This window comes from Homo sapiens, chromosome 11 (genome assembly GCF_000001405.40).
Source record: "Homo sapiens chromosome 11, GRCh38.p14 Primary Assembly".
In the NCBI taxonomy this organism is placed as follows: Eukaryota; Metazoa; Chordata; class Mammalia; order Primates; family Hominidae; genus Homo; species Homo sapiens.
The window spans coordinates 36359959-36385124 of record NC_000011.10 but is presented as its reverse complement, the minus strand read 5'-3'; the positions used below and the strand labels follow the sequence as shown (position 1 = coordinate 36385124).

The following is a 25166-nucleotide window of genomic DNA, read 5'->3' as shown; positions in this document are numbered from 1 at the left end:
AGTAGTCAAAAGCTACAGTCTGGCAGCCAACAAGAGTTTTAAGTGTGGGAAAATGTGCTCTAGATTAAAATGTGCAACTTACTTTAAAAAATTAGCTCTACTCTCTCATGGCAGAAATAAGATAAAATGGTTTTTTCATAAGAAAAGGAGATAAGGCTGGGTGCAGTGCCTCATGCCTATAATCCCAGCAATTTAGGAGGCCAAAGTGGGAGAATCCCTTTAGGCCAGGAGTTTGAGACCAGCCTGGGCAATCTAGCCAGATCCCAACTCTAAAAAAAAAAAAAAAAAGCCAGGCATGGTGGTACATGCCTGTAGTCCTACCTACTCAGGAGGCTGAGGCAGGAGGATCCCTTGAGCCCAGGAGTTCAAGGCTGCAGTGAGCTACAATCATGCCACTGCACTCCAGTCTGTGTGACAAAGTGAGACACTATCTCCAAAAAAGAAAGAAAGAAAGAAAGAAAGAAGAGAGAAAAAGAAAAGAGGAGAAAAAGAGATGAAGGGAAGGGAAATTTCTTCTCAGGTAGTATAGCCAGGTATAACAGGCATTGAATAGAGGCTCAGAAAACTGATGGAAATATCCACATATGATCATTTCATGGAGGTAATGATTCCAATTCAAGTCCATTTAACTCAACCAAACATTAGAGTGTCCACTGGATGCCAGGATCTGAGTAAAGGAAGTTACAGGGGGCAAAGAAGAATAAATCATCTTCTCCCAGGGAGCTCAGGGTTTCTAAGGAAATATCCAAAAGTAATACTATAAATGCAGACACCAAGGGCTGTAATTGAAGATGGACAACTGAGACAAGATTGAGGCAGAAAGGTTAACTCACATTCTGGAGTTACGAAGCAAAGCTAATGAAAGGTCAACTGAAAACTACAGGTTCTCTACTTCCTTGCCCATAACACTAAAGAATATGGGGCCTGGAGACTGGAAAGGAAATTTTGAGAAGGAAGAACAAGTTTTCATAGGCAAGAAGCTTTAAAAGTTCAAGGTGTATCCAAGGTGTTAACTATGAAAGACCAGGTGTAGGATGAAAATATCACATTTCAACAAATATCTAGGGAGTACCTACTACTCTTGCCACAAAGATGAGCCAGATATGGCTCCTACAATAATATAATAATAAAAGGGAATAGTAATTGGTCATGATTAAAGAAAAAGACAGGGGAGGCCGAGGCGGGCAGATCACCTGAGGTCAGGAGTTTGAGACCAGCCTGGCCAACCTGGTGAAACCTCATCTCTACTAAAGATACAAAAATTAGCTGGGCGTGGTGGCAGGCGCCTGTAATTCCAGCTACTGGGGAGGCTGAGGCAGGAGAATCACTTGAACCCGGGAGGCAGTGATTGCAGTGATCCGTGATCACACCATTGCACTCCAGCCTGGGTGACAGAGCGAGACTCCATCTCAAAAAAAAAAAAAAAAAAGGAAAAGAAAGAAAAAGACAGGAAAGCCTAATGCTGGGATGGGAAACAATGCTTACAGCAGACCGAAGCAGAGAACGTGAACAAGATTAGCGGGTCAGGTGGGGAATGTGGCAAACTAAAGAGTGTCCTCAGACTCCTTTTGGTTTATTACAGAAAAGCTGAAAACCTGTGTTCAGATGTCAACTCTCCCAACTTTTAAATACTGGAGAAAATCATCTTGTTTTCTTCTTTTCCCCAAAATACAATGCAAGCCAAACAGTACATGTCTGATGCCAAAGTTTGGCCCACGGGCTGCCAGTTTGAGACTGGCATGGGACTGAGTGGGGACAAATGTACACAGCTGTTGACTGTGAGGGCCAAAGAAAAGAGATATTGTGAAGGTTACAGAGCTAAGCCTCAAGAAAAAGAAATACAGCCCTGGGAAAAATAAATAAAGTAATTGAACCAAAAAAATTAAACTCCAGAGGCCTGTGGTATAACATTTGCCACTAACATCTGCACAGCACTTTATAGTTCCTAAGGCTCTTCCTCATGTTATCCCACTTGGCCCCCAACAATCCTAGGAGGTAGACACTATTATTATTCCTATTTTAGAAGTGGAGAGTTTCTGGTTCAGAGCATTTAAGCAACTTGCCTGTGTGGTCCCATAGCTATGGAGGGATAACACCAGAACTCAGGTGTAGATCTTGTACTTTTTCAGACTGTCAAAGAGAAGAATTCCAGGCCATCTCTATCACCTTATTTTTAAGGAATATAGATTCCTGGGCCCTCCCCTAGTCATTTTCATTCACTGGGCCCAAGATACCTAAATTTGTACTTCCCAGATATCTTCCAAGTGATTCTGATGTACAACTAGGCTTGATAACACTGGTCTAGACCAATGTCCTCAACTAGGGGCGATTTTGTCCCACTGCCTGGAGACACTTTTTGATAGTCATAACTATGAGAGTGGAGGATGCCATGGGCATCTAATGGGTAGAGGCCAAGGATGCTGCCAAAAATCCTACTATGCACAGGACAGCCCCCACCACAAAGAATTATCCGCCAAAACCATCAATAGGGCCAAGGTGGGGAAGCCCTGACCAAGGCTCTAGTGCCCTGCTACCCGCATTGTAGTCTGGGAATCAACAGAATCAACATTGCCTGGGAGCTTCTTAGACATTCTGGCACCAGCCCAGACCTACTGAATCGGATTCTGTGGTTTAACAGGATCTCCAGGTGATGCATGTGCGCTTTCAGAAGCACAGCTCTAGACCATGCTTCCTTGGCCATCAAGGAATTTTAGAACAGAATGGAAGCTTAGTGGTAGGCCAAAGTCATTACTTTGTAAATAGGGAAACTGAGGCCCAGAATAACTGAGCAACTCACCATGGTCATACAGCTTGCTTATGGCAGAGCTGAGATCAGATTCCAGATCTCAATTCCTCAACCTGTGTTATCTCCATGATGCCCGTTAGGACCAAAATGAGGGCTCATTCAACAACCCTGCCTCTCTGAAAAGTTGATACCAACCTTGGTGGGGAGGTTTTCTTTTGTTTGAGACGGAGTCTCACTCTGTCACCCAGGCTGGAGTGAAGTGGCGCGATCTCCGCTCACTGCAGCCTCTGCCTCCCGGCTTCAAGCAATTCTCCTGCCTCAGCCTCCCGAGTAGCTGGGACTACAGGCACACGCCACCATGCCCGGCTCATTTTTTGTATTTTTAGTAGAGATGGGGTTTCACCATGCTGGTCAGGATGGTCTCGATCTCCTGACCTCATGATCCACCCGCCTCGGCCTCCCAAAGTGCTGGGATTACAGATGTGAGCCACCGCGCCCGGCTGGTGGGGAGCTTTTTTGAGGCCTGAAAGGAATCTATTGTCCTGTTGGTGAATAATTTAAAAAAAAATTATCCCAAACACCACAAAAGAGTACCATGTTTACCCAAGAATTCAGCCTGCGAGATGTTTTACAAGGAAAGTGGCCATACTGCTTCCATAGTGGTGGTGTCCGGGAGCTAGCATGATGAAACAGTTCTCCAAAATGATGGCAGCAGTCGATGTGGTCTCCTCAAAGACATCTGGGGAATGATATTGAGCCAGTTCCAGAGAAGTATTTAGAATTAAATGGCAGCATAAAAGGGTTTACACCAAGGATTTATGTGGCTGAGGTCACAAGCAGGTTGTGACAGGGTTTGAGGCAGCTTAGTTAAGTCTGATACAGACACACATCAGAGCCAATGGTAGATTTTTCTCCCCCTCCCCACCCACCCCTACCCTGCCCCCTGTCCTTGGGAAAAAGATAAAAACAAATCCTTTCAGCTATTCTTCCAGGCTCAACTTAAGCTAACATATACTCCAGTTCCTAAACAGCTGAGTCCATTGCAGTCCCTTAATCCTAGTATTTGCTGGAAACCCAACTGCTGCCAAAGATGCCATCAACAAAATACAGGACACATCCTGTGTCAAAAAGAACCAGCAAAGTTGGAGAAAGTTCTGTAATAGGTAATGTAAGGAGAGAACGGTAAAGTGGAAGTGTTGCCGGCATTTGGTAACCAGCTAAAGTGAAACCAGAATATTGATGTGTGGGTGAGGGAAACATATTCGCACCTCAAAATTGAGGGGAGAAAAAGAAGAATGAAAGCTTTGCAAGTTTAATACACGAGTAAATACATAATTTTATGTAACATATAATTCTATGCTAAATAAATTGAACAAATAATTAATGACAGGTTGTTTGGAGGGGGTAGATGTTTACAAGGTCTTCCCGTAGGCCACGGTCAGATGGATTTCTACTGCTCTCCACAAACCCTTCTAGCTGAGCCTAGCTGTGAGCTTCTGCTTTTTAACGAAGTTAGTATATAGTGATGTCATTTATTATCCTGCTCCAGAAATGCAATATTTTTTAAAAGGGGGGGAAAGCAGAGAATGTCCTCTACACATTTGAAGAATATATAAAAACCTCTAAAATCTCAGAATATGTTACAGCTGGAAATTTCAGGGAGTTTTTTAAAAAAGTCAGCTTAAATTTAATAGACCGTTTAAATTCTTAGTTGATGGTAATTAGGGAGCAAGAGGCATTTCTTTAAATGCTGCTAGACAGAACTTAATCCAATTTAGGTAATCACTAACCTTTGCTTTTTTTCTCTCTTTCTCTCTCCCGTACATGAAATCCGAGGATTAATCTACAAAGGCCATAAACTGGCAAAGCATAAAAAAAGAATATTTAAAGAGGGAGACTGAGTGACTGGAACCTCAAAGGGCCAAGTCTAATTAAAATGCAAACAGGTCCCACAGGCTCCCTAATTTATATTGACTATAAAGCCAACACCGGGCAGCAGAAGGCATCGGGAGGGAGGTGGAGACACTTCACCACTCTTCCCTTCTGGGAACCTCATCTAGTGTGTTCTGCAATGCGACAGCCATCCTCGCCCAGGCCAATGCTAGTAATTCTCTATATTCACAATATCCACAGCGCCTGACTTTCCTTCTTCTGTGGCATCACTACTGTCAGAATTATCCAGACTATCCCTTCAGGCTTCATTGTTCACCCACCTCCTGTCTCCTCATTTTAGAGTCCCTGAATAGCTCTGGCCTTGACTTCTGATCCAGAAACTTCCATGTGAACCACTAGGATTTTCTTGAGAACTTGGGACCCTGGGTTCTCCATGGAAGGCCTTCAAGGGTAGATATCAAAATGTACTGAAAAGAGCAAGACGCTTGAGTTCATGGCTGTGTGACACTGGGAAATTAACAACCCTCTCTGAGCCTCTGTTTTCTCATCTGAAAATAGAGAAAATAATACCTTCCTACCTGAGTTGTTGGGAGGCGCAAATACCATTACCATAGCTATACCTGACTCACAGAAGTTGCCCAATAAATAAGTCAGCTCATTTGTTTTAACTGTACAAGTTTCAAAGTAAATCTTGGATCCCCAGGTACTGACAAAAATGTGAATTAACTCAAATTCACCTCTGATGCCCCATCACTGCCATCCATCCCCCTCCTTGGCTCCATGTGAAATCTTCTCTTGTAAAACAGTGCTTTCTGCTTATCAGGGTACCGCTCTCTTTGTTCCCCAATTCCAAACCCCATAATATTCTGTACAAAATCCACAAAATATTTTATTCCTATATTTCAGCAACTAAAATATTAATTCACACTGACTTGTTAACAAAGGGTCATTTCTACAAGCATTGCCTTTAACATGTATTTACATTTTACATACAGAGAGGCAACTCTTGAGAACAAACCTTTAATGATGAACATTAGACATTGTAAGGATCTTTCAGAGGAACTCACACACTGTTTTTCAAATCAATTCTGTATTGGGTCTAGCTCTGCAAAAAGAATGAAAAGGAAAAAGGCTGCAATTTAAGAGAGATTTCAGCATATTTTACCTTGTACAAAAGGAACAGCCACAGGAAAACAGACACATGCATACCTACAAATCATTAGTATGGAGAAATCTGAAAAAATTAAGTAATCCACAAAGTCCTTACTGAATTCAATTTTCTACAGATAAATGGCTTTAATGCTGAAGATACATTAAGTCAAGGAGCAAAGTGAGGATTATGATTTAGGTCTGGACTATCAGCAAGAGATTTTCAGATAACCAATATAACAGTTTTCTAAAGACAAGATTAGGGCTTTTTTCCCCAATAACTGAGCCAATTTGTAACATTCTGTGAAATTTTGAAAATAAATAAAAAGCCATCCATCTAATCAACTATAACGTGAGCTAATCAACAATGGAGAATTGAAGGGAAAGACATGTCCAGACTATGAGTCTGGAGTAACAAATCTGTAATCCATTCTCAGCTCCATCCCTGTGTGTATGGCTTTAGACAAATTACTTAAATTCTCCAAGCCTCAGTGGGCTCATCTATATGATAGGGATATAATAGTACCTATATCATTGTTTGCATGAGGAGTATATAATATTATCAAAGTCTCTCAGTGCAAAGTTTAAGACATCATTAAGACCTCAAGAGGCATTTGCACCTTTCCCCTTTTTAAAACAAGTGGCACATATTTGTAATGTTCTAAGACAGAACATTATTGAAATTTCACCCACAGAAATAAATATATATCCATGGCCCTCTGGACCTGAAAGAAATGAGGTCCCACCCTTGAGAAACAAAGTAGTCTAAACTAAGCCTTTGAGAAATAAGCTAGTTAGACTTTCTTATTTCTAGTGCCTTTCTTCTTTTACATATTAGTGGTTCCAGTTGTTAGAAGCATCAGTAACATACTCAAAGAACAATGGTTGCAGTTGGAAAAACTGAAGACAACTTTGTGGATTGACCAAGCATCACTTCCCTTATCTGAAAGGCTACATGCTACAGAAACCGCTCTAAACAGCACCCTTGATCCTGATTCTAGGGCTGCAACCAGAGAAGACTAACCAGCCAGGTTCCACAGACAGGAGCCCTGCACCTTCGTCAGTCATACTGGGAACCTTACCAGGGGCTAAATTTTAAATGTGGCTAAATTAGTTTCTGCAAGCTCCATTTCCCCTCCTGACCCGCTAGCTGCTTCGTGTTGTCAGTAACAGCGCCTTCCACCCCAGAGCAATTTACCACAGCTCAGCACTTTGACATTTTGCAGTATGTAGGGCAATGAAATGTCATGACTGCAAATTTCTACGGTGGTCAGGATCACCAAAGAGAGGTCAAAAAGGGTAGTCTCCCGGGCTTGATCAGCAAGGGTCCCTTGAGGATGGTGGGGGATGAAGGCAGTACATTGGGCCGGTGGCATCCCTTTGGTCCTTAGCATGGGTCATCTGAATGTGCACGTGTCGTCTGGGCAACAGGTCCAGAATTCTGCCCAAGCAGGGAAGCCCGGAGATTCCAGCCCAGAGCTTTTTCCACGCGGGTCTCCGGGGCAGACGTGCAGCTCAGACGCAGCGCGTGAACCTTTCGTCTTGTGGGGCGCATCGCAGTAATTGAAACCTTGCGCACCGCAGGACTGCCGTGGCGTCTATAAATACTCACCGCCTAACTGCTGACAAACAAAACGCGGGCTCCCGGCACCGCGGGGGAAGAGGCGGCGGCAGCATGTGACCGAGGACAGGGACTGGGTAGAACTGGGGGTAACCCCTTTTGCCAGACAGGAAGGCATCCCAGAGCGGATTCCTGAAGCACAGTTAGCAAGCACACAGCCTGGTCCCACCCCGGGCGGCGGCCTCAAGGAAAATGGGCCGGAGGGTTGGGCAGGCAGGGTCCCAGCTGCCCGGGCGGGGCCCCTAGAGCGCCCCCTGCGTGCAGCGAGCCCGGCATGCGCGCACAGTAAGCGCGCAGAGGAAAGCCTCGCCGAAAGGAAGGCAGGCGGGAGAAATAAAACGGAAGGGGGATACTGCGGACTCCCAGCGCGGGGTCCGCAGCCGGGCCGTCCCAGGGCTTGCTCACAGCCCGTCCCGGCGGGATCCCCACTGGCTGGGCCCTGGCCCACCCTAGTCCGCAGAGCGCGCGCGTGCAGCAGCGCACGGGACAAAGTGGCTCCCTGCCCTGCCCTTCTCTCCCACGCCTCCCTCCAGAAAAAGGGGGACCGCCGGGAAAAGGCTGCTGCAGGCGCGAAATCTCCCGTGCTTAAGCGGGGTCAGCTCTTTAGATTTGCCCCCCAGAGGGAGAACGAGAGAGTCAAACAAGCCGACTTTCTTTTTCGACCTCCCGGCTCAGCCTAGGTCCCATGATCACCAGCATCCGCATCCCACCTCACGGCGGTACTTCAACCACCCTAAAGAGCAGACCGGGAGCGTGGCCTGCCCACCTCCCCACCATGGTGGTCTCGAGTAAGATCCCCTACGCCTGCCTGCAGCGTCCGATCGGAGGATCCTTAACCATGCAGGAGTTCCCACCTGGTTGCCCCCCCAAACGTGACACTTTTCCCTAGCTCCTACCCCCGCCACGCCGCGCCCCGTCAGATTAGCGCGCGGTAATTTTCGCTCAATCCTGCGCGGTTGCTGAGCCTATGACTCCGGCCCCTCCCAGAGACGCCCCCCACCCACCACTCACCTCCTTGGGGTCCCCGGCGTGAATCACCCCGAGTCGCGCACACCCGCCGCTCGCCTCCGCCCCAGACTCCGCGCGCCTAGGAAAAAGTTTCCGGTCTTCCCGAGGAAGTTTTCTCACCGGAGAGAAATGAGCGACCTGGATGGTTCTCCCCGTCGCGCTCTGCCCAGCTCTCCCTCCCTCCGTCCCTCCCTCCTCCCCCAGCTCTGCCCTCAGATGGGGTCCCGTCCAGCCTCGGTTCCTCTCCAGCGCGAGTCAACAAACGCTTCGGCCGCGGAGCTCCCACAGCCGGGCTGGTGACACGTTTCCCTCCTCTCTCATCTTACGGCCGCCTCCTCCTCCTCCTCCTCCTCCTCCTCCTCTTCCTCCTCCTCCCCCTTCTCCCCCTCCTCCCCTCTTCCTCCTTCTCCTCCCACTTTTCCTGTCCCGGGCACCTAGCTTTAGTGTCTCTCCAATGTCCCCCAACTCACTTCACCCCATCTCACTCCTCCTCCCCTTCAGCAACTCTCACCCTGCTGGGGAGAGCGGAGAGGGGGGCCCTGCACTTACATCCAGTTCAACAATTTCAGGAAATCCAAGCTTTTTGACTTAAAAAAAAAAAATTGCCGAGGAGGATGCAGCAGGTCAAGGGAGCTCCGTGCTTGCGTTTCTCTCACACAACGGGAGATCTGCAGCCGACCCCCGCCCCCGGCCCAGCTGCCCCGCAATGGGAAACTGCCAAGCCAAGAGGTGATTCTGGGGCTCACTTAAAAAGGAGCAGGGCGGAGCTGAAGAGAGGAGTGGAGCCTGGAACTCTGGCGATTCCAGAAGTTGTTTTAAGTGCATTGATGAAAATATAATGCAAGTGAAATCTTTCCCTTGTTTGCAAATTCTTTTAAAGCTCCCAAACTCATTTTCTAACTGCAGGTTTCATGAATTAGAGGGTCCTTCAGAGTTTGAAACCACAGAAAATCAACAAGCCAAAAATTAAAAATAATGCATAATTATTTTGAAAACTGTTGGGTTTTGTTTTGTTGTTGTTCTTGTTGTTTTTTGCAGGTGTTAAGAATTTAGTGCAGCTGTTTGCAGGACTCACTACCTGCATCATTTCACCCTATGGTTGAGCAGGAAATACTTTAAAAATGCTGCCCGATCGCACATCACACATAGGCTTTGAAACCACAGTGACATTTGCTGAAGAAAAAGATGTGCATGTCCTTTTATCTCAAAACTGAGCAAGACTCATTTTCATTTTTTGATTTGGTCATTGCGACCCTACAAAACCTATGTGTTACGGTGGTTGTGGGCATGAGAGCGGGTTGAAGAAGTTCTGGGTGTCTCATTTGTCCTGCGATATTAGGTAAAGCTAAAAGATCCTCAACAGAAGCCCTAGAATGATGAAGGGCTTTAAATTTCATCCCAGGAATCACACACAATGAAAGAGACTGGGCATGGGACACATGCCTGGGAAACAAAATCTTTTTTTTTTTTTTTGAGACAGTTTCCCCTCTGTCATCCAGGCTGGAGTGCAGTGGCATGATCTCGGCTCCCTGCAACCTCCACCTCCCCGGGTTCAAGGAATTCTCATGCTTCAGCCTCCCGAGTAGCTGGGATTACAGGCATGCACCACCATACCCGGCTAATTATTGTATTTTTAGTAGAGATAGGGTTTCACCATGTTGGCCAGGCTGGTGTAGAACTCCTGACCTCAAGTGATCCACATGTCTCGGCCTCCCAAAGAGCTGGGATTATAGGCATAAGCCACCGTGCCTGGCAAGAAACTGAGAGGACAATGAGCAGGGAGGAGACTTAAAAGAGGCTCGTCTAAGGGATTAAGAGCCAAAGCCTGGAGCCAAAATGGCAAGGTCTCCACAGCAGCTCCTCTTCTTCCCATACTCTGGTTATTAGCCAAGTTACTTAACTTTGCTGTGCCTCAGTTTACTCATATGAAAATGGGGATAAAAGTAGTAGCTCTGTCTTAGGGTGGCTATGAGGATTTAGTGAATTCATACAGAAAAAGTGTTTAGAATCCCTGCTGGGATTCAAAGGATATTAAGCTATTATTTTTCCTATCATTATCCCTAGGGCCTGGGAAGTGGAAAGGGAACTAGTTCTACCCGGCTGCAGGGAGATCAGTTTGGGAACATCCATTCTACATTGCTAACTCTCTCAATCTCCTTCAAGTTTTATTTCAATAAGACCTACCCTATTCCACCTATTTAAAGTTGTAATTCGCCCCTCCCTCCCAGTCTCCCTCATTCAACTCTGCTTTTTTTTTTTAATAGCATCTATAACCTTGTAACACATTGTATGGTTTACTTTAAGAAAAAAATTTTGGCCGGGTGTGGTGGCTCACGCCTGTAATCCCAGCACTTTGGGAGGCTGAGGCGGATAGATCACGAGGTCAGGAGTTCAAGACCAGCCTGGCCAACATAGCGAAACCCCATCTCTACTAAAAATACAAAAATTAGCCGGGCATGGTGGCGGGTGCCTGTAATCCCAAGTACTCTGGAGACTGAGGCAGAGAATTGCTTGAACCTGGGAGGTGGAGGATATAGTGAGCACTGCACTCCAGCCTGGGAGACAGAGCAAGACAAAGAAAGAAAGAGAGAGAGAGAGAGAGGAAGGAAGGAAGGAAGGAAGGAAGGAAGGAAGGAAGGAAGGAAGGAAGGAAGGAAGGAGGAAAAAATTATTATCTGTCTTTTACCACCTCCTACTTTCAGGGTAGAACATCAGCTCTATAAGGGATCGGTTCAGTTAAACAAATCTGATGTTTTTAATTCACTGATATTGCCCAAGTTTCTAGAATAGTGTCTGGCACATAGTATGTACTCAGCAAATGACATAGAAATGAACTTATTTAGCGTATGCTGTACTGATTGCCTATGGTGGGCAGGGCATTGTGCAATAAGAAAAAAAAGGTTAATCATGAGGCCTGTCTAAAGATGAAAGAGTCTCCTCTGGGAGAAGCGTACTTCCTGGTAAAGAGAAGTATTCACAACATACGAGCATGCCATAAAAAAGTATTGAAGGACTGAAAGGGAAGTTTAAAGAGGTTAAATTCTTTTCTAACCCTAAGAGTTTCTCATTTTGTAAGCAGATATTTTTTCTTTCTTTTTTTTTTTTTTTTAAAACAGAGTCTTGCTCTCTCGCCTAGGCTGGACTGCAGTGTCTTAATCATAGCTCACCATAGCCTCAAATTTCTGGGCTCAACTGAGCCTTTGCCTCAGCCTCCCAAAGCACTGGGATCACAGCCACCACGCCAAGCCAGAATTTTCTTAAGAGGAGAAGTAGTCAGTATTTCCATGGAAATCAGAGCTTCTCCTTAAGGACCATTAATGCCAATATATGATGCTTGTCACCAGCCAAATTCTAACCAAAATTCTACCTAAATGTCAATGGGACTTTGCTTTTTCTTATTAAGAAACAGAATCTTCATAGGAGAAACCAGTGTTGGTCATTCTAGTTAAACATTAATTTATGAGGAGGAAATTCTAGGTCTTTATTAGATATATACACAGCTTGCCATGTCCACAACCTCTGAAATGGAAGTCAGTCCAATCAAGGCTCCTGTTGAAAGAGTAGCTATCCCTGAGGCAGCCCCCTTTAAGACTAAGGGTGGGCACCTAACCCAGGTGCATCCAATCCATAGATTTGTGCTGTGAAAATTTTGGCCCCAAAAAGTACACTTCACCAGTAAGATTACATTTCAGGAATGTGAACACACACACACACACACACACACACACACAACTATTAGGCAGCGCAAAAGCTGAAGTTTGTGACTTTATCTGAACTCTAGATTCTAAAAGCTGCACACTGGCTGTGGGCTCGTTAAATGTTCTATATTAGATTGTATTGTTTGAACCTTATGAGGTCAACATTGTTTGAACTACTTGCCAATATTTTAAAATTAGAAAACGTCATGCAAAAATACAGATTTTTCAGCTTGCCTTGAAAAACCTAGGGGACCTGGCATCATTCTTGCTGCAGACCTGCACTCTGTAATTGGCTAGTTCTGCAGTGCTTTTTCTCCCTTTTAGGGAGAACGTGCAGTTTCCAGTTTGCCACAATCCCAGCCACTCCCTGCTTCTCTTGTTACCAGTCTGATCGCCCATTTTCCTGCCACTCTGAATGCAGCTTGCAAGGGATGCGGACACATAGTTAGAAGGGGCCAGAGCTATGAGCAAGCAGAAATTATGCAATAGAATGGCATGGGTTCAAACCATTTTACAAAGAAAACCTTGCTTGGAACCACATAATTTGAACACTATTGAGATAAAGGAAGCAGTAGAAGACAACTGGACATCAAGACCAGGAGAAGCAGAGGCCCTCCCTGAGAGGCTGCCTTGTGATCAAAACCACCTTTCAGATTCTGTTCTTCCAGAGGTCCGTTGTTCTACTTTTGCTTTGTTCCCATGACAATGCCTGCCCACCCCATTCCCATTACTCATTTCTACCCCGCACAGAGCCTAACCAGACCAAGTTCAGGCAGGGTTAGGTGACTTGTTTGAAGTTATACACAGGCAAAAAAGGACAGGACAGAGATCTCTGTCCACACTCTCTTCCTCTGATTAACTGCTTCCATCTCTGAATAATAATGAAAATTACTCAATTTACGCATTATCGCATTTATTTATTCATTTTATTATTATTTTTTTTTATTTTTTTGAGATGGAATCTCTCTCTGTCACCCAGGCTGGAGTGCAGTGGCACGATCTTGGCTCCCTGCAAATTCTGCCTCCTGGGTTCAAGTGACTGTCCTGCCTCAGCCTCCCAAGTGGCTGGGATTACAGGCGTGCACCACCACACACAGCTAATTTTGTTTTTTTAGTAGAGACGGGATTTCACCATGTTGGCCAGGCTGGTCTCCAACCGTTGACCTCGGGTGATCCGCCCACCTCTGCCTCCCAAAGCGCTGGGATTACAGACCTAAACCACCATGCCCAGCCCACATTATCACATTTAATGCCTTAGGGGTCTGAGATACAATAGGTGTGAAACAAATGTCTGCCACGTTTAGGTGTTTGAAGTTTGATCTCCCTCCACAATAACCCTAGTGTCTCATACTATGATATAAAAGTATTCCAATGAAGAAAAACATATATCCTCCCATAAGTTTTCTCCTTTTGTAGATGGAAAAAAGGAGGCCCTGATAATCCAAGATCCTTTGTTAATGCCTAGCACAACTTGTGAGGAGCACAAGTAGATCTCCCAGCCGTGTGCAACATAAGAACACACAGTTTTTCAGGTCCTCAGAGCTCAGGTAATAAAATGAGTTAATGTAGTTACTCATGATAAATACCAATCTAGATATAAAACTTGCGTAAGCACTCAATATACCACCACAGCACTATACTATCCATAAAAATGGGACCATTTGAGAAATATGCTCAGCATCTGATCTAACACCAGGGTGTAAAATCAGTGACCTTTGGTACAGCATGGAGATTTAGCACACAAATGATAAAAGTTTGCCCTCCTTCTGCCTTCCTTGTAACTTCCACAGTAGAAAAATTGAGAACCCTGAAGTCTGCTTTTTGGGAGAATTTTGGATGACATAAGCAAAATAATTATTTTAGTCCCTTTCATCCTTCTCTTGTTAGCAATGGGGTATTTCTGGTATGTTGGGTTTTATCATCGTTTCTGTCTTTTGGTATTGGGGAGTGTCTGCCCTCCATTCTAAAGTGGCTCGTAGTGAATTAAATCTGACTGTCTGAGAATAATTTGAATAAGCAAATCTTAACAGGGAAAAAAGAAATTTGGTGATCCTACTTGAATTTTTCTTGGATAATTTTCTTCTTGTTTTGTTTTTTTTGTTTGCTTTCTTTTGTTTGTTTTTTTTTTTGAGATGGAGTCTCCCACTGTTGCCCAGGCTGGAGTGCAGTGGCGTGATCTTGCCTCACTGCAACCTCCACCTCCGGGGTTCAAGTGATTCTCCTGCCTCAGCCTCCCAAGCAGCTGGGATTACAGGTGCCTGCCACCACACCCAGCTAATTTTTTGTATTTTTAGTAGAGATGGGGTTTCACCAGGTTGGCCAGGCTGGTCTCAAACTCCTGACCTTGTGATTTGCCCGCGTTGGCCTCCCAAAGTGCTGGGATTACAGGCGTGAGCCACCTCGCCCGGCCTCTTGGATAACTTTCAAGGATTTCAGTTATTCCTTCCCACAATCCTAAGTCAGTCATTTGGTCAACAAATACTGGCTGGCCACTTATTGGTGTCAAGCACCAGTGATGTAATGGTGAACAAGAAAGACAAGGTTTCTAACACCAAAGAGCAGAAGACAAACATTACACATGGAAACAAATGCATAAAGGAGATCATCTCAAGTACTGATGTGTGCTACGAAGAGGACAAACTAGAGTGACTGGAAAAAAAGAAGAGAAATGCTTTACATAGGGTCATCAAGGATGATCTTCCATAGAAGATAACTTTGAAATTGAGACTTAAATGATGAAAAGAGGCATTTATGGAAACAGAAGAATGTTCCAAACAGAAGAAATGGTCAGTACAGAGGCCCTGAGTCAGGAAGAAGCATGGCAAGTTAGAAGGAGAAAGCAAGCCCCTATGGTTGAAGCATAGGAAACAGGTGGGGTGGGGGACAAGATGAGGTCCAAGCAACAGAGCAAGGTCATGGTAAGGTCCTGGTAAGGAGTTGGTCACAGTGGGAAGTCACCACTGCCATGATCAAACATGCTGCCATTGTATTGCCCAGTTCATTTCCTAGAAGGCCTTTTGCATCAATGGAAGACACTCCATTGCAAATAATCCCCTCTCTGCATCTTAAGACAGGATTGAACAGGAAACATTCCAAATAAATACTGAGTTGCAGGCTGGGCATGGTGGTTCATGCCTGTAATCCCAGCATTTTGGGAGGCCAAGGCGGGTGGATCACCTGAGGTCAGGAGTTCAAGACCAGCCTGGCCAACATGGTGAAACCCCATCTCTACCAAAAATACAAAACAATTAGCCAGGCATGGTGGCAGGAGCCTGTAGTCCCAGCTACTCGGGAGGCTGAGGCAGGAGAATCGCTTGAACCTGGGAGGCAGAGGTGTGGTGAGCTGAGATCTCACCACTGCACTCCAGCCTGGGTGACAGAGTGAGGCTCCATCTCAAAAATAAATAAATAAATAAATAAATTCCCAGAGTTATCCAAAACACAAGAGATTTTCGTCTTTCTTGGTGATTGTAGATGCCTTTGGGGGGCATCTGACCAGACCATACCGCCTTTTCCAGGAACCATCACATACCTCAGACTCTGCAGAATGGGGCAGTGGATTGTCCTAGACCTGTATCAGGTGACTGGTCCTGGGACTGGGCACCTGACACATGAGTAGATGAGATGTGCCAATCAAAGTGTCCTTTGGGATACAAACTAAGGAACCCACGTGCTATATAAGATAACTGGTCTCCCAGCTTCATCCTCCCCCAGCAGAAGCTGGCTTCTGGTTTCCTCACAACACTCAGCCTCAGCCTCAGCATCACTCTCTGCACTGCAGTCATCAGGACTGGCCACCTTATGCCCTGCATCCTTGTCTCTGCCCATCAGTTCAAAGATCAGGGCCTAAGGTTGTCTTAATCACCCCAGATTATCATCACCACGTGCTTTTATCCATCCCAGTTTCTGACCTGTCTCCCAGCCCTTCCTCATTCCCAAACCTCCTTTTGTGCACCCTGAAACCCATAGTCCATCACCAGCAAAATCCCCTACACTTCGACTTCTTTCCTGAGCATTTCCTTTGCCTTTATGTACTAACTCAGTGGTTGTCAAACATTTTTGTCTCACGACTCTCTTTAAAGTGATTGGGGACCCTAAGAGCTTTGATTTTCGTGGGTAGTGTCTATCAATACTTACTGTATTTGAAATTAAAAATTAAAATTAATGTATTCAGTTTAAAATAATAGTAAAACCATCACATATTTTATGGAAAATAACTATATTTTCCAAAACAAAACAGAACAAAAGTACTGGGAAGGATGGTATTGTTTTACATTTCTGAAAATCTCTTTAATGCCTGGCTTAATAGAAGACAGTTGGATTCTTCTACTGACTTCTGCATTCAATCTGTTGTTGCATTATCATACATTACGTAGACTCTGGAAAATTCCACTACAGACTTGTGAGAGAATGAGAGTGATAAGGTGAATAATATCTTAGTTTTCTATGAAAATAGTTTTGAGCTGTGGATCTCTGCCAGGTCTTAGAGATTCCCTAAGGGTCCCTGAACTACATTTTGAGAATCGCTGTTCAAAGTGAACTCTGCTTTTCTGCTGAGGCCCTAAAAATCCTCTCAAATGATGGTATTTTCTCTCCCACACTCATGGCATGACTGGACTTTGAGGTGGAGTTATTGTTTTCCTTGTTTTTTTGTGCCACTTCCAGACCACAATCCCTCCCTAAAATCCCCATCAAGCCATTAGACTATTCTACTCGCTATCCCCTGCCCCTGTAGTGGTCATTACAGATTCCTGGGTTATCTCCCTCTTGCCTTGAAATTTTCAGACCTGGTTTATGATCACTCTCTTAGATGTTGCTCTTTTCATAATTCTCCATGATTTCAATATTCATAGAAATAATTTTTCCAATATCCCAGAAGCTCAGATCCTTGACCTCTGCCCTGATGACCTTGTTCTCCAATCTACGGCAGCCACTTACTCTCACGGTCAGCCTTGACGTTTTCATTTCCTATTTACACCCACTCCCACTCTCTTAACACCACCTCCCATCTTTCACGGTCATTCTCTCTAGTACTTTGGCTCCCACAAATCTTCAGCTCCCCCGAGATATACTATCTTAACCCACGGCTGGTCATCCTCAAGTCCTCACTTCCCTCCTCACCCAGATTAGATTCCCTTATTATATTAACTCCCTCACATACACCCTGGACTCTCTTACCCTTTTTTTGTTTACCTCATACACTTCATTGTATTTACTTTGAGAGAGAGACGGCAACAGAGAGAGAGAGAGAGAGAGAGAGAGAGAGAGAAGTTCTCTGGTCCCGGCTCCCATGAAGCCTGGCTTGGGCTTATTTCTATGAGACACTCCTTTTATTTGAGATAGTGGGGTCCAGGGTCCAGGTCAAGTTGTCCTTTGAAACCCAAATATCTTGACCAGAACAGTCATCCCTTCTAGTATAAGCCAAACCTTAGGTCAATCAATGTTTCCTTGTGGGGAAAAAGGCTAAGGTTTGGACTGAGACCTGGTAGTACCATTTAAGGACAGTTCCATTTGAAGGCAGTGAGAGTCTCAGTTGCAGACACTACCTGTTTCTTAGGGATTTCATGAGGCCTAAATGAGGTTTAGGAGAGCCGTGTGAAATACTTGGCACAATGCTTGGCACATTGTAATACATTTTTTAGTAACAAAGAAAAATAATTAGATACCATATTTGAAATAAGAGAACTTGTGTGTTATTGACCAACCATTATGTTTGTTTCCCCACATAAATAATCTCAATTCTTTTATGGCAAAGCCTAGTATTTTATTCTATTCCCAATTTGTTGAACATATGTTTTAGCCTTTATTTACATTCTGATGTGTATTACTGCATGCTGTTGAATATAAATGAGACTTCAATAAGTGGTCTGAGAATATGGAAATACAGTCGTAATCTTAAAAATAAAAAATGACATTTACACCCTTCCCACTTCAGAAACAGATAAAATCAAGATAAGGAACATAATCACATGAATATAATATAAATAATGACATAAGACAGCAGTCTGCATTGGATATATAGAAAGGCGAATGGAATAAGGAAAAATTTGTGTATGCTTATTCATTCCTGTCTGTGGGAGAAGGGAGGAGAAGGGAAGGAAGGGAGGGCAAAGAAGGGGAGAAAGAAGGAGAGAGGAGTTTTAAACTCTACTGTGAAAGAATTCTGGCCAGGATAGTTTATTTAGGCTATTCAAGAGACCCAATCAAAAATTCCTCAAGGCAATCTCAGCCCCTTTCCTCAGAGTCAAAGCCTACTGTACAACCCTCTAACCACTAATTTAGCGTCCTAGGCACCATAATACAAGGTACATCCCATACAAAGTAAGCTTTGAGGGATTAACTCATGCTAACTACATTCCCCAGAGAGTGACGAATAAACTAAAATACTAATTAATTAGTAATTTGGTTTCTAGGACTTTCTACCTAAAATCACATTTATAAATTATCTCTTTAGCAAAAGAGATGTCATTAATAGGAAATGTATTTGTTTTTCATTTTACTCAAAATCTTCCTTTGCAAAATAGAATTTACATTATACTCTAAGTATGGCATATGCCTCCCTCTTCCTCCCTTTTTGTCCTCTCTCTCTCTCTCTCACACACACACACACAAATATGGAATTGATAAAAACAAAAAAATTACAACTGACATTAATATTAATTGCAAAAAAATATGAATTGCAGATGTACCATGTGCTGACACTATGTGAGGTACTTTGCAAGCAGTGGCTCACTTACTCCCCAGACAACACCAGGAAAGAGGTGCTATTATTATCCCCATTTTATAGATGAAGAAGTTGAGATTAAAAGAAACAGCTTAGTCATTTCCCAAGGTCCCACAGCTTGACAGAGGTAGAAATAACTACAAATTATACAGTTTTATTTCCCAGTGTAAGTTCTTCAGTCATCTTGACCTCCCAATTAAGGAAGAGGAAGTTGCAAAACTGTTTGGGGAAGATAAATATTCTCATCCAAACCACTCATTGCAGGGAGGTTTTCTGCTGGATGTGAGAAATTAGATTTCTGCAAGAGCAGAAAGTGAACAGAGGAAAGATGCCCTGTCCCCTAGCAGCACCTGTACCTAGCAGTGCTTGAATGTCTCACTCAGTCAAGGTGAGACACGCCAGCCAGGTGGATGGCTGCCCTTCACAAAGAACTCTCTTCTTTCTCCAGCGTTAACTGGTGGGCAGTTCTAGTCTGACAATAACACAGACTGGCCCATCACTCAACATCTGCTTCAATTCTTTTCCTAAATATAATACTTGTATTACCAGAGTTTTGGTGTTTCAGCCTGGCTTTCATTGATGAAGTCTGGCTTAGCTATCCTAGATGGGCATTTCTCAAACTGTTCCCCAAGAAGGGGAAGGGATAATACCATGAAATGTTGCTGGTGTTGCTGGAGAAACATTCCTTAGTCTAATAACTTTTGGAAAAATACTCCATGCAATACTGTAAAATGCAGTCGTATATTAAGAACTTGGAGGTGGTCTTCAGAAAAAAAAATTCAATAGTTTAATTTCATTTCATGGAATACTATTAACAGCTTAAGGAAATAATATTCAGCAGGATATAATTGGGAAATGTGGTCCTAGACAAAAGAATTCCCTGTCAGTCAAACTTGCTTCGAAAGGACCCGAGACTGTATAAGACGAGGGGAGATCTTAATTGAGTCTACTCAGTAGACTCTGCTTTCGGCTTTTTAATTTCTTGGATGACTGGTCTGCTGATAGTCTCCCAAATTTACAGAGAAAAAAAAAAGCCCTGCTTCAGTTTCCACTGCAGAAACAAAGCAAGTAAACTTGAACGATCATTCCCGCTAAGTGCTTTATCATAAGAACCAGCTACCTCCTTCACAGAAGGGATGATGAGACCTAACAGATATGATCTAAGGACGTTTGATAGGAAATCAGCATGAGCAGCCATTATTTACTGAGTTTACATTAAGTACCAGGCCCAGACTAAGCCCCCAGCAGATAGTAACTCGTTTAATCCTTACAGCCTGCCTGTGATGTACGGATCACTGAACTGTCTATTGGGGAATATCTAGAACTTCACACAGTGCCTCCTCCACTGAGCAGCCACTCAATAAATGTTCACTAGAGGAAGGAAGAGAGAAAGGAACGGAGGGAGGGAGAAAGGAAACAAATTGAGGTTTAGAGATGTCAAATTGCCCGACGTCACACCTTTAACAAGCAGGAAAGTCAGGACTCAAACACGGGAGAGCTGAGCTCTTCCACACCTGGACAGACTGCCAAGCTTCCTGCTGACTAACACACAGCCAGCCTCTAGGAGCTGGCTTGAGGTCCTGGCTACACTTGCTAAGGATGTTAGCTTTGGGCAGCTTGTAGCTTGTATAATCAAAACTGCTGTGTTTATATGGCACTTTTTTTGAGTTTGTAATAATGCAATAGGTAAAATTTACTGAGCACTTACTAAGCTAAGCACCAGGCACTATTCTAAGAACTTTACAAAGCTCATTCTCCATGACCATCCTAAGAAATAGGTGCAATTATAACCTACCTTACAGATGAAGACACCGAAGAGCAGAGGGGTGAGGTGACTTAACCTCTAATTAAGTGGTGGAGTCAGGACTTGAACTGAGGCAATTTGATCCCCAAATCTCTGCATTTAACCTCTTTACTAAATTCATTCCCTCTATCTAATGACAGACCTCACGAGAGAAGGAAAGGACAAAGGCAAGTCCCATTCACAGTTGGATAGTTAAATATGTGTATTAATTTAACCCCCAAAAATGTTTACTATGCATAGCTCTCAGCACATCACAAGTGTCAACTCATTAATTCTCCTAAAACATGAAACAACACTATGAGCCCAGTGCAATTATTATTATTTCCATTTCACAGATGAGGAAACTGAAGCACAGAGAGGTAAGTAACTTGCCCAAAGTCACACAGCAAATGGCAGAGCTGAAATTCACACCTGGACATTCTGCCCCCACTAGTCTGTGGGTTTAACCACCACAGAGTGCAGCCTGACAAGAACATGCAGGTGCCTTATTTAAAAGTGAAATACCCTCCCAAGACCAGTGGCTAAAAATGGTCTCTAAGAGGAAGGCAGAGCCATCTGTAGACCTGGAAATTAAACAGGGCCATGGAGCTTGAATGACTTAATCACTGTTCAATTTAGATTTCCTGGTTGAAAGGGTTCCTGTTCGTCCTACTGGAAATTAACAGCCGATTGCTTCTTGGCATTCTTGTGGGAGGGGTGGGCCATTTTCCTCTGGCCCAGCTGTTTCTGGAAGAGTAAGTGCCTTGCCAGTGTCAGGCAGGTACAGAAAGACTGGTAGGTAAAGGGGACCAGATCCCTTTGTCAAGTGAGCTTAGCAGAAATCAGTCAACTCCTGCTTTTTCTGCTGGTCTAGGAGCTGGGGCCCTTCCTCCACTCCTTGCAGGAAACCTGCCCGGGGGTTGATTCATCTCTCAAAGGCGGGTCAGGAGGAAGGGGAAAAGAAAAGACAAGAGTCAGGTCATTTATTATCAGAAGGGGCAAAAGAGCTTCTAAGGAAGCGGTGAGGAGCTGTAACCACAGCATCTGCAGAAAAGGCATTGAGCTATTAACAGTGAATTCTGCTTAGTACAGTCAATCTGTCCCCAGCTAATCTGGAAAGAAAGATATGAGCTCCCAGAGGTCAAGGAGTGATGTCTGCCCTCACACTTCGAAAGCACTCCAGGAATATATTTTAAATAACTTGTGTCATGAATGTAAGTTAACAGCAAAGAATTGGGCTTACTTTTCTCCTGGTCCATAAATATTTGCCTCTCTTTCTGTCTCCTGGTATGATGCAAAGAATGGTGTGTGGAATCTTGACCACAGCCTCATTCCCGGCCACTCTTTCCCTCTCACCTCATCCTATGCCCAGGCACACTGAGATGCCTGTGGTCTGGGAAAGGCAGTAGTTATTGCACACAGGTCGAGGGTGCAGAGACAAACCAGGCTCAGGCCTGGTCCAGTGACATAGCCATGTGAACCTGGGTGCACGACTTAACGTCTCTGGGCCTGGAGAACCTTGTTCTCTTTCTCCCCCTTAGAAATACCCACTTCCCCTGCAGGAGCCAGGTCAAAGGGCTGCCCTGCTCCTCCATCCCAGGCAGGCTGCCCAAGCACTCAGCACACACACCACCCCCCAGCCCCCACCCATGCAGCATTTGCCTCCTCTTGTTACAGTGATCAGTTTACCTGTCTGTCGCCACTCACAAATTATAAAATCAATGACAGCACATTATTTATCTTTGAATCCCCAATATCTAAGCAATTCCTGGGCTATAACAGAGAATCCATAAGACCTTTTATGGAAGGAAGGAGGAAAAGTGGAAGTGAGAAAGGAAAGATGGGTGGAGAGAAGAAGGGAGGACAGACATAATTGATTATGCTTTCAAACAGAAACAGCAGGCATGGTGTGAGAAGTGCTAGAAAAACATTCTTTCCCCAATATGTCAATTCTGCTTGCCCAGTGTCTAAAACGTCCTTTTTTGGAGATTTGTTCCTGGGGTAAAGATACTGTCTCCGGTTCTCCTTGTCATTGTTTCCCACCAACCACCGCCCCCGTCCGCCCACCCCCACCCCGCCAAGGGTGATGTGTGAAACTGTCAATAGCCCAGCACCTTAGCATTCACTTGCAAGATAGATTTTCTAAAGACAAGTGGGGAAAAGGCACGTCAGCACTTTGGTGCTAAAAGTGAAGGAATAGGGTCCTCAAAAAGGGAAGGGAGGGATCCGTTTCAGTGAGTCAGAGTCATAAGAATGAGAGCATGCGATTCCCATACCCACCCTGCCCTGCCCTCCCATCAGAAGCATTCTCCCTTGCCTACATCACTCGGAGCAAGTTCTGTTTTCAGGACGGAGCCGGTGACCGGTTCGCCAATGGAAGGCAGGAGTCTCTGGTGACTGCCTGCTGCTTCCGTGCTGACAGAATGTCTTTTTTTTTTTTTTTTGCCTTTTATGTACTCATTTGTTATTACTTCAGCACCCCCCGACTTTGAACTTGGTAAGGGAAAAGACTCTCTCTACTAGCATCCTCCAAACTGAAAGGACCCTCAGAGGTCACTTTATCCAACTGTGCCTCATGCTGGAATCGTCTGTATCACCTCTCCCAAGCCCCTCGAGGGAAGAGAGGCTCGCGATCTCTCTTTAACAGCCATTCCATTTTAGAAAACCACAAGAGTTAGATATAACCTAGAACCTGCTGCTCTAAAACAAAGGAGAAAAACAAGTAAAAACAAGTGACTTGTGTTAGGTCACACTTAGGAAAATTCTGCAGAAGTCCAAGGGTAATGAAAAAGGTTGTCTCTTTACCTCATTTTTTTCAGTAGACATTGATTTGCCCACATAAATGAACAAGTATAAGCAAACACACTATCGTTTGATCACATTCCCACAATGATTTCTTTCCTCTGGTAGAAACAGTAAATACCTAGAGATCAGTGACTCAAACTTTTTGAACTCAGTAACCCTTTAAAGTCTTAGAAATTATTATGAGCCTTAAAGTCTTTTGTTTTTATAAGTTATATCTGTTGATACTTAACATATTAGAAACTAAAACTGAGAAAATCCTTGGTTATTTATTAATCGATTTAAAAATAATTTTAAAAGCCATTACAAATTAACATAAGTAATGTATTTTTATGAAAAATAGCTATATTTTCCAAAAGCAAAAGGTATATATAGCAAGAAAAGTGGCTTTGTTTTTTATTTCTGCAAATCTCTTGAATATCTGGCCTAAGAGATCTGGATTCTCGTATCTGCTGTGCACTTAGTCTGTTGCAATACCAATGCCATGTCACCTCCGGAAAACTCCACTGTATACTTGTGTGAAAATCAGAGTAGAAAAGGCAAATAATATATTAATGTTGTTAGTCTTGTTAAAATAGTTTTGAGCTCATGGACCTCCTAAAAGGATCTCAAGCAACTAAGATGAGTTACATAGGTGGGGACCAGTGCAAAGTGAAAGTGCTGTTTCTTGTCCAAAAGTTATAAAGCATTTCAAGACAGCCACAGCAGAACATTGAACTGAGCTCTGAGCATGGGGCCCTGCGTGACTTCACAGTTCCTGCAGGCAACTTCAGGGGTCTCTGACCACATGTCGAGAACTGCTGCTGTAGAGTTATACTTGCTTCTTGAATCAAATGAGTGGCTTAAGACAATTAGTGTACACCAGGGTGATATCAAGTTAGGAGTGTGTGCATGTATGTGTGTTTGAGCTGCTGGATCACCAGGTGTAAGTGTTCTTGAGTAATAACATATACCTAACAAGATAAAAGCATGACTTACACAGATTTTCCCCCTGGGTGTATATCATAAAACCTTACCCTCTTATTCAGCCTATTATTCCACACTGACCCTAAACATACACACACACATGCATTTATGCATGCACACACATACGCCTTGAGCTGATGGCTTGCATGCATGTGGGTGTGTGTGTTACATGTGCGATGTTACATGTGCACATACCCCTTTGTGTTCCAAATGGCTGCACACCAGATAGTCAGATATTTGTCATGGTTTCCTGTTTTGGGTTTTTATTGGGTGACAGGCTTTGATCAGCAAAACTGACATCTCTCGTCCCCATTTTCCTGTTTGGTACCTTATACATAGTAGGCACTCTAAGCATTTGCTGAGTTATATTTTATAACTCTGGTGGTTAGAGAAAATTATGCTTATTAAATACTGTTAGCAACTGATGGTTAGCACATAGATATCCCATTTGATCCTCCTTCCTGAGAACTCAACACTTAGGGAGGTAACCATCCCACTAATAATAGGTAGACTTGTCCAGAGAAGAACAGTATGTCATTGTCATTCTACTAGACACAAGGTAGCAATATTTCATGATTCTCCTGAGATTCAGGCATGAATTTAGCTAATAAAGAACATAAGTTTTCTGTTTTGTGTGTCTGTGTGTGTGTGTGTGTGTGGGTGTGTGTGTATGTGTGTGTGTGTGTGTGTGTGTGTGTGTGACAGAGTCTCACTCTGTCGCCCAGGCTGGAGTGCAGTGGCATGATCTCGGCTCACTGCAACCTCTGCCTCCCAGG

The 25166-nt window shown here is 44.0% G+C and overlaps 1 protein-coding gene across 3 annotated transcripts in view, besides 3 other annotated features; it reads right to left on the bottom strand.

Moving 5' to 3' along the window:
• PRR5L (proline rich 5 like) overlaps positions 1-25166 on the bottom strand; it is a 168917-nt gene that overhangs the window by 80080 nt on the left and 63671 nt on the right. The window contains exons 1-2 of one of the 3 annotated variants that reach the window (NM_024841.5): positions 8967-9140; positions 8421-8496 (exon numbers count right to left, since the gene is read on the bottom strand). The exons of 1 other annotated variant lie outside the window; for it this stretch is intronic. Coding sequence is in view for 1 of the 2 variants with exons in the window: in NM_001160168.2 (NP_001153640.1) it covers positions 8967-8968 (2 nt within the window). In the remaining variant the exon portion in view is untranslated. Of the gene's footprint in view, positions 1-8420; positions 8497-8966; positions 9141-25166 lie in introns of those variants that run through there. One more of the 3 variants, NM_001160168.2, reaches the window with a different exon arrangement.
• Positions 7359-7930: an enhancer, noted in NCBI's record as "H3K4me1 hESC enhancer chr11:36398745-36399316 (GRCh37/hg19 assembly coordinates)". NCBI's record gives its function as "activates a minimal SCP1, AML or CMV promoter by ChIP-STARR-seq in naive H9 embryonic stem cells {active_cell/tissue: H9 hESC(naive)}" and the evidence as "EXISTENCE:reporter gene assay evidence [ECO:0000049][PMID:30033119]".
• Positions 7616-7765: a silencer, noted in NCBI's record as "silent region_3266". NCBI's record gives its function as "represses an Ori minimal core promoter by ATAC-STARR-seq in GM12878 lymphoblastoid cells {active_cell/tissue: GM12878}" and the evidence as "EXISTENCE:reporter gene assay evidence [ECO:0000049][PMID:35858748]".
• Positions 18952-19246: a silencer, noted in NCBI's record as "tiled region #5372; HepG2 Repressive non-DNase unmatched - State 24:Quies, and K562 Repressive DNase matched - State 9:DNaseU". NCBI's record gives its function as "represses a minimal TATA promoter and a strong SV40 promoter by Sharpr-MPRA in HepG2 and K562 cells {active_cell/tissue: HepG2 | K562}" and the evidence as "EXISTENCE:reporter gene assay evidence [ECO:0000049][PMID:27701403]".